The sequence below is a fragment of the Homo sapiens genome, chromosome 2 (genome assembly GCF_000001405.40).
Source record: "Homo sapiens chromosome 2, GRCh38.p14 Primary Assembly".
NCBI classification, from domain to species: domain Eukaryota; kingdom Metazoa; phylum Chordata; class Mammalia; order Primates; family Hominidae; genus Homo; species Homo sapiens.
This window is the reverse complement of record NC_000002.12, coordinates 38,889,085-38,906,095: the sequence shown is the minus strand read 5'-3', so window position 1 is coordinate 38,906,095 and position 17,011 is coordinate 38,889,085. Positions and strand designations below refer to the sequence as shown.

Here is a 17,011-nt window from a genome sequence, read left to right as displayed (position 1 = left end):
TTTTTGTAGACGTGGAGTTTCACCATGTTTCCCAGGTCATGTTGCCCTGATCTCGAACTCCTGGGCACAAGTGATTTGGCCACCTGGTCCTCCCAAAGTGTTGGGATTACAGGCATGAGCCACCACACCTGGCTTCTTCAGCATTTTTTAAAGTATGTGAGGAAAGACACTGAACAACCTCACTTGAAGTCTATTCTAGGGCTGCTTAAGCATTCTGTAAGGCAGTCAGTCCCTGTGCAGATTATGCTCATTTCATCTTGTTCTGATGCCACTGGAAAATGATTCCTTCACCTGAAGACAAGTTGATCTAACAGGGCACACACGCTGCCCCACACCATTTCCTGCCTTTAATGCTCTTCAGAGGGTCTTCCATTTTGATTTCTGATAATGCAATCTATGAAAATTTTCATCAGGCTTCCTGCTGTAGAACTAAATAAAAGAGTTCCTCAAAGAGTCAGGAAGGCAGGGCACCTGCTGGCCCATACAGTCTGGGAATAGAAGAATACTAGACTGAGATCTAACACTGACTTCTTACTGTGGGGCCTTAGGAAAGCCAGGCACTCTCTCTGGGCTTCCATTTCCTCATCTGTAGTATAAGGAGCGTTTCAAAGTCCTGGTAGCTCTAAAATGCTGAGGCTAAAATTTAACAGGGTAATTCCAAATATCACTCAGCAGTGTGGTAACACGGTGATATCACAACCAATGGCCTCCCTTCCCCAGCCCTCCAGCCCCCAAAGCCTTCTGTAACTGTTCTTTTGTTTAATCCAAACAAATCATCACCTTACCCTAAACTGAAATTATGCTAAACAGTTCATCATTTCTCAATCACTAGTATTTTCACTATGCAGTTTTACCTATGTTTTAGTATTCAGGTCTTTAAGGAAAGGAAACAAAACTGGCTTTTTTTTTTTCGGCTAAATGAATGTCCTTGGTCACCCTTATATTTCTTTCCAACGAATAATGTCACTGGGCTGTTCCATGGTCACCTGAATCTCAGTCTGTTGAAATCACATTGGTATCTTTAACCTTTCCAGGCTCCCCCTTCAGGTTCCACTAGCTCTGCCACTAGCACCACCACTGACCCACTCTCAAGACCTCGGAATGATCGCCTCTCATCCTAAAATTCACCAGCTGTGAAATCCTTACGAGTCTTCCTTGCTAAGGTGTCTTTCATTTTCTCCTTTGCTTTTCATTGTCGCCTCTTTGGATCAGCCCTGACTGCTTCATGCCTAAACGTCTCTAGGAGCATCCTAGTTAGTTCATCCATCCTCTTCACTGCCAGTAGATTGTTTTCCTTTAAATGTCACTTACATGATCTTTTGTTCCTGCTCAAAAACTGCAATAGGCGTTTTCTTTTCTTTTTCTTCTTTTCCTTTTTTTTTTTTTTTGATACAGAGTCTCGCTCCGTCTCCCTGGCTGGAGTGCAGTGGTGCAATCTCAGCTCACTGCTCACCTCTGCCTCCCAGGTTCAAGCAGTTCTCCCTGCCTCAGCTTCAGGAGTAGCTGGGATTACAGGCACCCACGACTACGCCTGGCTAATTTTTGTATTTTTAGTAGGGATGGGATTTTGCCATGTTGCCCAGCCTGTTCTCGAACTCCTGACCTCAGGTGATCTGCCTGCCTCAGCCACCCAAAGTGCTGGGATTACAGGAGTGAGCCACTGCACCCGGCCTGTTTTTTCATCTTCATAAAATAAAATCGAGATCTCAAAGTCCTCCACAATGTCCCTGGCCTGCCCCTCCAGCCTCATTTCTGATGTGTAGGAGGCCTGCCAGCTGCCTCAGCCTTCTCTGCCACTTGCATTTCTACTTTGTCTCTCCTTCTCCCTGCTGCCTGGTCTGCCCTGCTCATCCCACTCCAATGGACAAATCCTTACTCATTCTCCAAAGTCTAATGTAGGCCCATTCCCTCTCTAGAACTTTCCCCCTTCAATCCAATGGGAAATTATCCTTCCTTTCTTGGAATAACTGTAAAACTCAATAGGAATCAAAACAAATTTTTCTACTGTTATTCATTTTATGTAAATAATCTCATTTTCTAAGTTAATTGTAAACTTCTTTGAGAAAAGAGGCTATTTTTTTCCACCTCTTATTATCCCTGGTACATAGGATATATTCTAACATAGGGTAGAAGTTCAATAAAGGTTTGTTGACAAAGACACTAAACTGTCCTAAACACTGGCAGTGGTAACTATCTAGCAAATAATCCCCCTCAATTAATGAATTATTGATAATTAATTGATAAGGTGTTCTCGCATCTAAAAATCATGGATGTAGAGATTAAAGGAGAAATAATTGGTAGAAGAAAATCCAGACTGGGTGAGTAGAACAAAAGGATTTAGTGTTCTATCTAGGCCCTAAAGGGTATTTGCAGAGTTATAGGGTCATAAAATAGGATGATCTGCAATAGCTTAGTCCTTGTTATATATATTAGATTCTAGTGTTTAAAATTTAGAAGCAAACTCAATCCTTTTCTTCCTTCACCCACTTTGGAATGCACCTTAGAATCCTTACTGCCTGGTGTTTGCCCACTTCTTTCTTCTTAACACCTGGAGGGCTTGCCTTTGTCCCCTAGTGTCTGCCATTCATCTGCTCCTGGATGCTCCTGTCTCCAAAACAAATTATGTGATGGGCTTTGAATGAGCCAGTAGATGCAGAATAAATCTAAAAAAAAAAAAATCCATCCCTTTGAAGATAGTATTTCCAGCCTAGTCCTTGCATCTTTAACTTCTTCCTATACATTTTTTAGCTTAGGCCCTTCCTTTAGCGTGTGATATAAATCTGGATGTAAAATTCACATGCAAAACAGATCCCTGCTTCTTAAAATCCTGTAAATTCAGTTATCATAGTTTTTTTTAATGTACTATTAATTGTCCATTGGTAAAAATTAAATAAATAAGTAGATGCAACACACTTGAGAAGTCATTAAAATGTTAAAAGACTGTTTGGAATCACAGAAGCCCAGAGAAGCTCATTTGTGGAAATCCTGGGCTATAAGGGATATGAGGAAGAAGAGCTAGGTTGAACCTCAAGCTATGATTTATCTCCACCAAGGCCTATTTCGTTCCTATCTCTTGGCAACTTCAGAATCTTCCCAAATTTACAATATCCTACTACCCTACATCAAGGATAAAAAAGATCTAAGGTCTCTGCTTGAATGTCACTTTATTAGAAAGGCCTTCTTTGACCCATACATATAAGAGAGGAGTCCTGGCCTCTATACCCTATCTCCCTTTCACTGCTTTATTTTTCTCCACAACATTTACCAATCAAATGATAATGTTATATATTTCTTTGCTCATTGACCATCTTGGCTTATCAGTGCCCCCTCATGAGGACTTGGACATTTTTGTTCACTCTGTATTCCCCAAGACCTAAACCAGTGTCCAGCACAGAATAGGCCTTGAATAAATAGGTGCCGAATAAATGAATAAACCAATCTCATAGTTCGGAAGGACCAAACGAAACAAAACTGCACCCACCATAACTACTTGCAATATTTAGCTAAGGAATCAGTGTAGAGTGGTAAAGAAAATTAAACAGAAAGATTATACAGAGATCAGCCAGCCAAGCCCTGTCACTTTACAAATACGGAAAATGAGGTCCAGAGAGGATAAGTGACTTGGCTAAGTCATAAGCTCCTGTTTTGACAGAAAAAATAAAATGCTTCACTACAGAGTCCCAATTTCTTATATACATATGGTGATTATGGAATCGGATAACACGTCTTTAATCTCAGTGAGGCAGACCTCAGAAGTAAGTGGTATAAAATGGCTGTCAGGTCAGATGCCTTGCCCAAATATATCAACCTCACTGCCTGTCGCCAACATTATGACTCTATTCCTTTGAATCTTGAGAGATTTTTAAAAACACACTTTAATCTGTTCTCAGCTAATACTTCAGCCAGTTGAAAGCAACACCAAGAACCATGCTAGTTGTTTTTCTTTTTTTTTTTTTTTTTTCTTGAGATGGAGTCTTGCTCTGTCACCCAGGCTGCTCTGTCACCCAAGCTGGAGTGCAGTGGCGCGATCTCGGCTCACTGCAAGCTCCACCTCCCGGGTTCACGCCATTCTCCTGCCTCAGCCTCCCGAGTAGCTGGGACTACAGGCGCCCGCCAACACGCCCAGCTAATTTTTTGTATTTTTAGTAGAGATGGGGTTTCACTGTGTTAGCCAGGATGGTCTCGATCTCCTGACCTTGTGATCCACCCGTCTCAGCCTCCCAAAGTGCTGGGATTACAGGCGTGAGCCACCGTGCCCGGCCTCATGCTAGTTGTTAATAGGGAGTAGAAATGAAGAGTTTGAGTTTGAAGTCTGGAAGATGTGAATTCAAATCCCAAGTCCATGATTTAAATAGCTGATTGACCTTGGGAAAATTATTTACCCTCTCCGAGTCTGCTGGCTTAGTCTCTGGAACGACCGTAAGACTCCAGTGGTGATTATTGCTATGCTTTGCATTTTGGTCCTAGTACAAAGCTGGAAGCTCAGCTCTAGCCTGAGATCAGTAGAGATAACAGAAGCAGCAAATGCAGAATTCTCCTGAGGAGTCCAGATGTAAAGGTCTTCCAGGATAGGGATGTGTTAGCTTCCAAGGTCTGAAGTACCGAGCTCAGAAGTGAGCCCTACCCGGGAGCTGGTTACTGCTGCAGCCCTCAGAATGGAGCGCTCCCATCCACAGCACAGCCTCAGCTCAGCAGTGGGTAGGAAGGGAGCCCACCAGCAACCAGCTGCTTGGCAACTCTGGGCCTAAAGTTGGTGTTAGAGCGGGATGAAGGAGCTGCCCTGGCACCAATTTATCAGAGGTGCTAAAACATCCCCAGAAATGTGAGAAGGAGAAAACTAGATTTATCAGGATTTCTCTTAAGGAAAGTCTCTTGTGTGATTGAAAGAATGCTTCTTTCTGGCAGTTTTACTGATCACAAAAAGTAAGATAAGTAAATAAATAAATAAATAAAAAGAAAGAAATGCTCCGATAAGCCCCTTGAGGGCAGGTGTGTGTGTGTGTTTGGGGTGAGAGTGGGGTATCCTAAATGCAGGCTTGAGTAGCAACACATGGTCACTAAAAAGCCTTCAGCCTTCAAAGAAGGCTGAGTCTGGTTTTCTTGTGGGATTTTCATTTTGCTGAGCAGTGTAGCCAGTGTGAGGCCAGAGCTGAACTGTTATTGATCCTGGACAGGAAGCTGAGTACTGCTCTCGGGAGCCTCCTCTTCCACCCTTCCTCCAGGAAGAGATCACCCTGTCTTCATTCAAGTGTGAGATATTGAAAGAAAATCCATTCAAGCAAGTGCCAGACTTTTAATCTGCCTCAGGTATCTTGATTCAGCTCTGTCTGTGGGACCTTAATCTTAAATCTCAGAAACCCCATCTCACTAACTCCACCTCGTCGGCTCTGCAAATCACACCTCCCCATATCCTATGGGACTGCTCCTCTAATCAGAATCTGGAAAGGTTGTCTGGGAGGAGCTCCTGGTGTGTCCCTGTAGCCAATTAGACATTGGTTGATATGATTTTGCTACTTGTAACAGCTAGTGACTGGACTAGCTGAATTCACTTGGTTTGTTCCTCTATTTCAGAGTAATTCAAATAAAACTTTATAGTAGTTAGCATATGTGATATACATGTGCAGATGATCACAGTTCATGCCTTTCACCAAACACTTTCATGCCTCTATGCCTTTGTTCCTCCCATCTTCTATCCCTCAAATATCTTTCTTTATCTAATGAAATACTTCTCATTTTCAGGGCTCAGTTCAAGCACCTCTTTCTCTATGAAGCTTGCCCCTATCCTCTAAGTCATAATTAGTCAATCCCTCTTCTGCTACATTCTCAAACTGCATTATTGGTATTTCTTCCTACCAGGAATTATAGGCAATAGTCTCTATGTATTTACTTATTTATTTTTAGAGATGGGGTCTTGTTCTGTTGCCCAAGCTGGAGCGAATGCGGTGGTATAATCCTAGCTCACTGCAGCCTCGATCTCCAGGGCTCAAGCAACCTTCCTACCTCAGCCTCCCAAGTAGCTGGGACTACAGGTGCATGCCACCACACCAGACTAATTTTAATTTTTTTTTTGTAGAAGTGAGGTCTCACTTTCTTGCCCAGGCTGGTCTTCAACTCCTTGCCCTCAAGCAGTCCTCCCCCACCAGCCTTCCAAAGTGCTAGGATTACAGTCATGACCCACCGTGCCCAGCTGACCATTTCATATTCATATCCATTGTACCTGGCAGGTAATGATTCTTTTTTTAATTTCTTTTTTTAATTCACAAATTATAATTGTATATATTTAGAAAGTGTAGTGCAATGTTATGATATATGCATACAACATAGAATAAGTAAATCAAGCTAATTAGCCTACCTGTCACCTTATATACTTGTCATTGTTGTGGTGAGAACATTTCAACTTTATTCCCTTAGCAATTTTGAAATATACAATATATTAACTAAAGTCAGCCTGTTATGCAATAGATCTCAAAAATGTATTCCTCCTGTCTTACTGAAATGTGTACCCTTTGACCAACGCGTCTCCATTCCACCCCCTCACCCATCCACCCCCAGCCTCTGGAAACCAACATTCTACTCTTGACTTCCATGAGTTTGACTATTTAGATTCCACATATAAGTGAGCTCATGTGGTATTTGCTGCTTGGTGCTGGCTTATTTCTCTGAGCATAATATCTTATGATACTAGAGTGCTGGACTTGAAGCCTCAGGATAAACATGGCATATCTCCTTATAGTAGCAATTTTACTCTTTATACTAGCAATTTTACTGTTTATACTAGCAATTTTACTTAATTTTCAGCAATTTAAAAAATTATCAAATATTTTTTAATGATCAGATAGTTTATGGAGGAGAGTGCAAAATTAGCTGGACTTTTAAAGATAACTACATTTAAATCATTTATTCACATTCCTCTGACATGGGAACTATTCACAGTGGGCACTCAACACAAGTTTGAGTTGAATTTAATTTCAGGAGATGTTTATAATCAATTATTTCTTTCCCTAAAAAAAACCACAGAAGTTTATTTATTCGTATTAATAGCAAGAAGACCACTCTTTAAAAAAAAAATTAATGAGTTAGAAAAGGCAAACTGGAAAAATCAATGCTACTTCACCCAAATTGTAAATTTTGGCTTAACAAAGCTCACTATTTAAACATGTCTGAGAATCTTTCAGAGCACTACCCTTTGGCAAAGACCAAATGATTCTTTGTATTTCAAAAATGTTTTATAAGATACATTATACACATAAAATAGCATATGCAATACATGCACAGTTTACTCTTCCAAGTCTTTACAGTATCTGATAAGTAAAAAATTTAAATGAATAATAAATAAGATGTATTTATCAAGTGAAATATCCTTGAGACTTTATGAAGCCAGTGCCAAGAAGCAGGATGTAAAACTAATATTTTCCTTTTTTTAAGTATATTAGGTTAAGTATAGCCAAATAGAAATGAATCAGCTATGATGTTATCTGCAAGCCTGGCTTTATACTACATTGCTTTAAAATCTCAATTATAAAAGCAATACGTGCTTAATATAGAGATGTTAAAAACCTGACCCACTGTACCCTCTTTCTCTTTCCTGCTAGTTGTAGGTGGAAGGGTCAATGGGAAGTCACGTGGCCCATCTGGAGTGCCTGGAAGACAGCAGAGGGCATGACAGTGGCTGAATCAGGAGTGAGCGATCCATCTTGAGTGACTGATACTAGCTTGCCTGTGCATGGGACTTACTGCAGCCAAGGAGTCAATGTGCTGCCCAAATTTTGTGTTTGACACGCACCCGTTTTTTCTCATACAGTTTCAGAACTTTATTCTCCCAACTTCCTTTGTAAAAGCAATGGCTTTCCAATCAATTCCATTTGATTTTAGCAATATATCTTTTTAAATAATATATCATTTAGTCAATGATCCCCTCCAAAATCAGAATCAAGTGGTCTCGTCTACTTTTTATACCTTATTCCATCATCCAAATTACTATTCTCATGATGATTTATTTAGCCATGCACTAATATAGACTTTCTGCCTACCAATGAAAGTCTTGATCAAAATCGTTCCGTGACTCCTGAAGTTCAAATGTCCTAACCCAACGGACCAACCCCTTTGTGCTCTGGCTTCTGCCCAGCTCTGGAGACTCATCTTTAGTCACTCCCATGCACATACTGGGCTTCTATCACGAAGACAGTCATGGTTCCCCATCCATTCTAGCCTCTGGGGCTGTTCCCTCTGTGGACATCCTTCCCCTGCACCAGGCTAGCTGTCAAACTCCTAGCGTCCTTCAATATTTTGTGCAAATGTCATTCTTCCCTGGCTTTCTTGATATGACCCAGGAGAGTTCAGCCCTGTTTTTCTGTGCTGTGGTATAGCATCTTGTCTACACTTCCATTATAGTATTTCTATCAAACTATAAATTTAAAAGTCTCACTTCTACAAGTTCAGGGATCCATACTCCCAAGGTTTCCACAAATCCTCTAAATTATAGGCAAAATTTTATAGGTTCATTTTCTTACTGGGAAAGAGTTCAGAGCTCACATCAGTTTCTCAAAGGAGTCTATAATTACTCTCTCAAAAATAAACTTAGAAATCACTGCACTAGATTATGAGTCCCTGGGAAACAGAGAGTGAGTTCTAGAGTTCTTTGAGTTTCTACAGATAGATGCCTAATATTAGCTGAATGAGCATTTCAGTTATTGTTTAGAGGTAGCTGCTTATTCTAGTAAAGATATATACTAAATTCAACTTCCTCTGTTTTTTTATTTAAGTGGATAGAAAGTGTGATACTGTGAAAAGTATGGATATTTTTCATATGTTCAAGTGTGATACTGTGAAAATCTTTCCATATCTTTCTCTTGCCGAGTGTACTATGAAAAGTACACTGGGTTGGCTGGGTGTGGTGGCTCACGCCTGTAATCCCAGCACTTTTGGAGGCCGAGGCGGGCGGACCACTGGGTCAGGAGTTCGAGACCAGCCTGACCAATATGATGAAACTCCATCTCTACTGAAAGTACAAAAATTAGCTGGGTGCGGTGGTGTGCACCTATAGTCCCAGCTACTCGGGACGCTGAGGCAGAAGAATCACTTGAACCCAGGAGGCGGAGGTTGCAGTGAGCCAAGATCGTGCCACTGCACTCCAGCCTGGGTGACAGAGTGAGACTCAGTCTCAAAAAAAGAAAAAAAGAAAAGTATGCCGGGCAAAAAGAAAGATATGGAAGGATTTATACCAAACTACTAACAGTGGTTATGCTTGGAAAGAGGAATGGGGTTAGGGGTAGGATGATGGGCTTTTAAATCTCACTTAAACTCTTCTGTCATGATCACGTTTGTATTTTATTTTACAATGAGCACTTTTGGGTTTTGAAATTTAAAAATAATGTTTTAAATTATGAGACTTTTTTCTTAAGTGTGTCAGACATCTAGCTTCCAATCCCAGCTGTGCTACTTATTTCATTTTGTGACCTGGGAAAGTTAATCTTCCTAAGCCTATGCTCCCTCAACTGTCAAGTGGGCATAATAGTTACCTAGCCCACATGGTTATTAAGTGACAAAGCCCAGCATGAAGTAGGAACTCAGAATACATAACTTCAATGGAAAGTAGATGTTGTCTATTTTTCACAATCATCAAAGACATCCAAAATAGAACTTAATTAAAACATAATATGGCTGAGCGCAGTGGCTCACACCTGTAATCCCAGCACTTTCGGAGGCCAAGGCAGGTAGATCACTTGAAGTCAGGAGTTCAAGACCAGCCTGGCCAACATGGTGAAACCCTGTCTCTATAAAAATACAAAAATTAGCTGGGCATGGTGGCGTGAGCCTGTAATCCCAGCTACTCGGGAGGCTGAGGCAGGAGGATTGCTTTAACCTGGAAGGCAGAGGTTGCAGTGACCTAAGATCACACCACTGCACTACTGGGCGACAGAGCAAGACTCTATCTCAAAACAAAACAAAACAAAACGAACAAACAAAAAAGCATAGTTCATTCTTGTCTCAATGCTGTTAGCATTCATATACGCAATCAAGTCTGATGTAACATAGCTGGTTTAGAAGGTGGCTATTTGCCCTTACTGCTAGCTAATTAAGTAATCTCACAATTTGTTTATTTGATGGTTATCAAACCAAGAATGGTTATAAAATTCTACAAAGAAATTTATAATACTTCTGCTTCAATAATGATCACTGGTTTAAGCTAAGTTCTCAGTTTGCCTGTGTTCTTATTAGAAAACAGTTCTTTGCAATTTTCACTCACCTCGTGCCCTGTCTCCACTGGGAGACATCACAGCATGTTTTTTGAAGTCTTCTTCTTGTTTTCTCTAGAAGTTCTGTAAAAAAAAAAAAAAAAAACGCCATTGATAATGATAGCTACCTTGCATTTTATACCATCATTTTTTCCTATAATTTTGTAATTAAAAGTTCTTATTATATATGCAATTCACTGTTGTTAAAGATTTCTAATAGGTAAAAAACATATAAAGTAAAAAAGTAAAAGTCTTTGTTTCTTTTAGTCTTTTAATTTTTAAGTCACTTGGTATTGAGCAAGTACAATCACCTCAGTATTCATATGTTTGGGGGACTAATAAAAATAAATTTCTATGTATTTAAAAACATAGCTCGAGAACTCCAACATGGCTTAGGGGGCTTTGCTGAATCAGAAGAGTTCAAAGCAGTTGATATGACCGTAAAATATTGAAAGCCACAAATCTAGAGTCTTTTCTAATATTCCACATTAAATCACCTACTTCAAGTGACAAGTGAAATGTGTTTGTAATAGGTTTTTCTTTAAGCGCCAATTGAAGTGATCTATACTCAAAATTAAGAACAAATCTATTTAGAAAACATTCTGTGATTTATATAATTTTTGCTGCAGTACGGGCAGTTTGGCCAATTCACTGAATCTTCCTGGACTTCGGTTTCCTGACCTGTATGATTGGCTTAGTAATAGTAATACTTGCCTCACAGTGTGGATGTGAAGATTCAGGGACACGAAGCCTGGAGGGAGGGAGACTGGGACATAGAGTTTAGGGAGGGGCAAAGCCTTACTTGGTCACCTTTTGTCACTTTATCAAGAGGCCTTTATTCTGGGTGAATCTGTTTATTCCCAGCTTGGCTTCCTCTTTTTTTCCTTTAATTTTACTGATTTTTTTTTTCTTAAAAGATTACTTTTGTACATAATGCTGTACTTTGTCTAAAGGAATATAAGAGGCCATGTAAGGCCTGATACTGGCTCTGACAGACACTGCTAGTTGCCACCCAGTATTCATTCTCCTCTTTTTTTGGAAACCCAGTTAAAAGACTGTATTCCCCTCTTCCTCACAGCTAAGTGTAACCATGAGACTAGATTTCTACCCATGCAATACAAGTAGAAACACTGAGTGACCACTGGGAAGTCTCCTAAAAGAGAGAACACACCTTTTTTCCCCATTCCTCGTTCCTGCTGGCTGAACATCAGTGAGATAGGTGGAGACCTAGCAACTGTCTTGGACCAAGAGGTGATATACTAAGGATGGCAGAAGAGCAAGATGACAGGAACCTGGGGGCCTCTCACTAAGGAACTCATCTAACAGCACTAGACTGCCTACCTTTGTGGGCTTGTTTGTTTGTTTGTTTGTTTTTAATGTAAGAGAGAAATACACTTCTAGCTTGTTTAAGCCTCTATTATTATTCTTTTTTTTTTTCCCCCAGCATATACAGATTAACTCAATCTTTACTGATATGCTGGCGTTCTAGGAAGCTATCCAGAGCCCAAAAGCAACATTTTTTTTTTTTAAAGGCAGGTTTTCTCTCTGAAGCCCAGGCTGGAGTGCAGTGGTGTGATTGTGGCTCTCTGCAGCCTCGACCTCCCGGGCTCTAGCAATCCTCCTGCCTCAGCCTCTGAGTAGCTGGAACTACAGGTGCATGCCACCATGCCTGGCTAATTTTTTTGTTTTTTGTTTTTTGTTTTTGGTAGAGATGGGGTTTTGCCACGTTGCCCAAGCTGGTCTCGAATTCCTGGGCTGAAATGATCCCAGTGTCTCGGCCTCCTAAAGTGTTGGGATCAAAAGAGTGAGCCAGCCTGGCAAGAACGATTTTTAATTCTGGAAAGTTTTCTTATATTTCCTTGGAGCCTATGTGTGCTTTCTGCTTATTAACAACAGTCTTCAGTCTTCAGTCTTCAGACTTTAGAAGTCTTCACTCCAGCCCTTGTTTGTGCCCTATCTCCCTTGAATTGCCTACATTTTAGATACTACTCACTCATTTGAGCTCTTCAGATAGAAACCTGGAAAATGAGGTAACTCACTTGGGAAAAAAAGAAAGAAAGTTTGGCTAAAATTAAGTTTTTAGGGGTTTAAACAGAGTTCACGTGCATTCAACAAGTATTTAATAAGCATATACCACATAAAAGGCATTGTACCAGGTGCTAGGAGAAATGAAAGGATGCCATTGTTTCTGCTTCCAGTCTAGAAGGGAAGATGAGACACATAAATAACTGTAACATATAATGGATTGTGACAAATGAAAAAGAAAAGTGTAAAGTGCCTAAAATTTTCAGAGAAAAGATGAATTCCCTTGTGGGGATTAGAGAAAGCTTCATTAAGAAGATAGGATTTGAGCCAGGCTTTGCATGATATGTAGAAACGGTCAAAAGGGGATCACCAGAGGGGCCAGGCACAGTGGTTCACACCTGTAATTCCAGCATTTTGGGAGGCTGAGGCAGGTAAATCGCTTGAGCTCAGGAGTTCGAGATCAGCCTGGCCAACATAGTGAAACTCTGTCTCTACTAAAAGTACAAAAATTAGCCCATGGTGGCGGGTGCCTGTAATCCCAGCTACTCAGGAGGCTGAGGCAGGAGAATTGCTTGAACCCAGGAGGCAGAGGTTGCAGTGAGCCAAGACTGTGCCACTGCACTCCACCCTGGCAACAGGGTGAGACCTTGTCTCAAAAAAAGAAAAAAAAAAAAAAAAGGATTACCAGAGGAACAAAGCACAAGGCCTAGGTGGATTTAGGAACCCTAGGGAGCAAAGAAGGTAGAGTAGAAGGTGAGGCTAGACAGGTAGATTGGGGGCAGATAGAGAGCCTTGAATCTCTTCTTTGGAGCTTGCTCTGCAGTGGAGAGAATGAGTCATTGAAAATGTTTAAGCAGAGGTATAACAAGATCACATATCTCTGGTAAGAAGATGACTTAGTGGCACTGTAGAGGAAAGAGCAGCTGCAAAGAGGCCAGTGAGCAGGCACCTTTAATAACTCAAGTAAAAGATAATGATGACCTGAATTAGGGAAGTGACTCTTAGAAAGGAAAGGAGGGCACAGATAGAAGCGACATTTCAAAGGTTGCTCCATGAGCCAAATGTATGCTTCACCCAAGAAAAAGAGTTGGATAGTCACTCTCAGATTCAGAAGGAGGAAATATGTCATAAGATAATTTTTAAAATTACTCTAACTTATTTGAACCAGGAGACTAAAAGGAGGCTGAATATGCTATAATAATGAACTTGGTTCTACAATTTTAGCAGAGCCTTAACTTTTGTTTTTGTCAATTGGGGGTGCACTGACTAACTCTGCTAGGAGATGGGGAAAGCACATTTTAAAATGTCTCAAAAAAGAAATACAACCATCCTTTCTTTCCCATTGTTCATCCTTTGCCCGGGTGTTATGGTACTTAGCAGATGTCAGTTAGGTTTTTCTACTTTTCCCCAGTTATCTGTTTACCCACCTTTAGGCATCATCTCTACCCACCCCACCTACTCACACACTCCATAAAAAACCCAGTGAAAATTACGAGGAGGAGATTTTTTTAGAGAGCATAAGAATTTTCCAGTATTTGCTTCTTCATTGCTTGCTAAAACCATGCCAGCATAGCCTGGGGAAAGGTGGAAAGGGCTGGCATTGCCCCATATAAGGGAATTATATCCTCAAATCATTTGAGATAAGTAGGCCCCAAAGACAAATCCAAAACAGCTACTCCCTCATTCTCAGGAAATAAATTCTAGAGATTTCCTCAAATGGATAAATTTGAGAATCCGATTAGCTGCCACTTTTTCTTTATTTTTCTGATTATTTTAGGAAGACTCAAACAGATGTTAATACTTACTACCCTGTCTTTTTGTCAGTAAAGGCATGAACAGACAACAAAATAATCATGAACATACCAATCAGAAGAGTGCTCTCTGTAATATTAGCATTTATGATTTGTTTCGTTCATCTTATTTGGGGCATTCAAAGTGCTTTACAAATAACATAATGAGGGTTTTTTTTCCTTCCATGACTCCCAAGGTGATTCCTGGCACTCTCAAAAGGCACAAGTGATTAGTCAAGTCCTTGGGGCCCAGCAGCAGTAATGTGATGCATGTTGGTTAAACTGTGTTTCACACTCATGTAAATTGTGTGGGGGGCGGGTGGGGAATCTTCCACACTGTCCTTGAGAAGATTAGCAAGAATTATGAATTTAAAGATTCTTACATTTATAAAAATCCAAACAAAGAGAAATATTGAACAAATCATACTCCAGTCCTAAAATCAAAGTCTAAGGGTCTTAACCTGTGGTCCCAGGAATAGGGTTTCAGGTCACCTGTAAATCTTCTGAAATTGTATGCAAAATTTTGTGTGATTTTACTTTTTTTTTTGCAGAAATGGTGGACTGGTTTCTGAAGATTCTAAAAGCAATTCTTGACACCGAAAAGGTTAAGAACTGCTGTCATTAAAGAAAAAGAAAGGAAGGAAGAGGGAGAGAGGAAGGGAGGAAAGGAGAGAGGAAGGGAAGGAGGAAGATCAGTTGATCTTTGTATCTACATTACTTAGTTTATTACTGGCCTGCTATGTTGAAGTACACCCTTATACACAGAGAAAAGGGAAGGTAAATAAAGGGAATTAAGAAAAAGTTAACAATAAGGCCGAGCATGGTGGCTCACACCTGTAATCCCAGCACTTTGGGAGGCTGAAGTGGGAGGACTGCTTGAGATCAGGAGTTCAAGACCAACCTGAGCAACATGACGAAACCCCATCTCTACAAAAAATACAAAAATTAGCCGGGTGTGGTGGTGTGCACCTGTGGTCTCAGTTACCTGTGGGGGCTGAGGTGGGAGGATTGCTTGAGCCCAGGTGACAAAGTGAGACCTTGTCTAAAAAAAGAAAAGAAAAAAGAAAAAAAAAAAAACCAATAGTATGGTCATCTTGTTTCAAAAGCCTCTGAGTTTTCAAATGAGTTTAGATTGCATTTCCAGAGCCCATGGTTATGAAAAATGTAGACATTAATTAATTCAGTTTGTGAAAAATGTTTAGAATAAATGTGCATCAAAAACTTTTTTCTCTAGGATACATTTCTGATCATTATGTTGAATCCTTCAGAAGTAGCCTTCAATGAAATAGCTATTCCATTTACAGCAATATGATTTTGTATTAAAAGGGGCTATTAAAAATATAAAAGGGTGATATAGAGATTTCTACATATTCAGAATACTATTTCAGCATATAAAAACTCACATAATTCCAATACTAATTATAATAGAACGCTATTCTCACTTAAGACAATGTTTAAGTGAAACTCAGTTCTTCTCATTACACACCAAAGCCCCATGAAGTGTTTAGAATTAGGTTTCACCAATAAAGCCCCCATGTAATTAATCAGTACACATTTTCAATCAGGATATGTTTTTTGTTCTGTACATAGGGGAGTGAATGCTGAAGATTCCCCTATTCTTTTTCTGTGTTAGAAAGGAATAAACCAATCTCCCTCCATCCCTAATCTTTTTCATTCTTTAATTATTCTTAATCCCAAAGAGGCATGTCCATGTCAGATTTACGCTGTCTAGCATCCTTTCTTTAAGACTGCTCTCAAAATTTAACTCATCTTCAACTATATTTATTAATATGCAGAACAACTTCAGTCTCCAGTTTATCGATAACCTGCAAAGCGCAGTTAAGACATAATATAAAAATTAAGCAAGGAAATAAATGTTTTACAAATTGTTATAACTCTTAAATAAAAGTTATTTCTTTGAATGCCTACCTCAAATAAATGTTAGCATATATTGGATTTAAATTAGTACACCACGTGGTAAGGATTGATGGGTTTTCATCTCTTATAAAATTGTTTCCCCTTTCAGTGCCCCTTAAAGCATATAAAAGCGCATACTTACCCCATGTTGCCTGCGGTGGTTATATCATCCTCAGATCAAGGCTTATCTGGGTTCTGAATTAACTTAAAGGTTATAAAAAGAAGCAGTAGAGAGGCTTGACTTCCCCTGAAACGAGACCGTAGTATGCTAACCAGGCTTTTAAATGAGGAAAACTAGTGTCTCTTCTAATTATATAAGCTCCAGGTCAAATTCTAGCATCAACTAATCAAATAACTGAACTGCATTTAGTTTCAATGAGTAAAAAGGAAGAAACCCATTTAGGAGGAATATCTTTGGTATACTAGAAAATTGAAAAGTTGTACTTTGAAAAGTTATTAACATAGCAATACAAGTTAAATATTTTAAGAGTAAAATATATATCTTGCTGCCTTAAATAAATTGAAAAAAATTAGGGAAAATTTATTTTGCAGCAAAGCAGATACTTTTCTATATTTTCCAGAAGTTTTTGAATTTAAATTATATGTCCTGGTCCCTGAAAACATCTTCTCACCTTATCTTAACTTGTCCAGTATTTGTCTCTTCATGAATTTCCATATAATAATAATATTTAATTCTAAAGCCATGCCAGCTAATGTTTAGCAACATATACAAAAATGTCCAATTCTTAAAATGTGTCTTTGAAAACTTACAAATAGGGTCTTTCAAAATTAGCCATAAAGCTATTATTATGAGAAACTAACAAAAATGCCATTTTTATTTTAACATTTTAGAAGACATTGTAACCCAAATTTGTGCCAGTACAGCAAAAAATAAAAATATACATCTTTTGGCAATAACATATTGAGAAATACAAATATTCACAAGATTTTGAATAGAGAAATATGACAAAGAAGTTATCTATTGTGTACACTATTTTTTGTCAGTTTTAGAATATAGAGTTTCAGCAAAAACATTCAGGTCTT

At 39.4% G+C, this 17,011-nt stretch overlaps 1 protein-coding gene across 2 annotated transcripts in view; it reads right to left on the bottom strand.

Annotated features, from left to right (window-relative positions):
* ARHGEF33 (Rho guanine nucleotide exchange factor 33) overlaps window positions 1–16,221 on the bottom strand; it is an 85,580-nt gene extending 69,359 nt beyond the window's left edge. For both annotated transcript variants that reach the window (NM_001367623.3, NM_001145451.5), the window contains exons 1-2: window positions 16,110–16,221; window positions 10,247–10,319 (exon numbers count right to left, since the gene is read on the bottom strand). The gene's annotated coding sequence lies outside the window, so the exon portion shown is untranslated. The remainder of the gene's footprint in view (window positions 1–10,246; window positions 10,320–16,109) is intronic.
* Window positions 16,222–17,011: the final 790 nt, after the last annotated feature.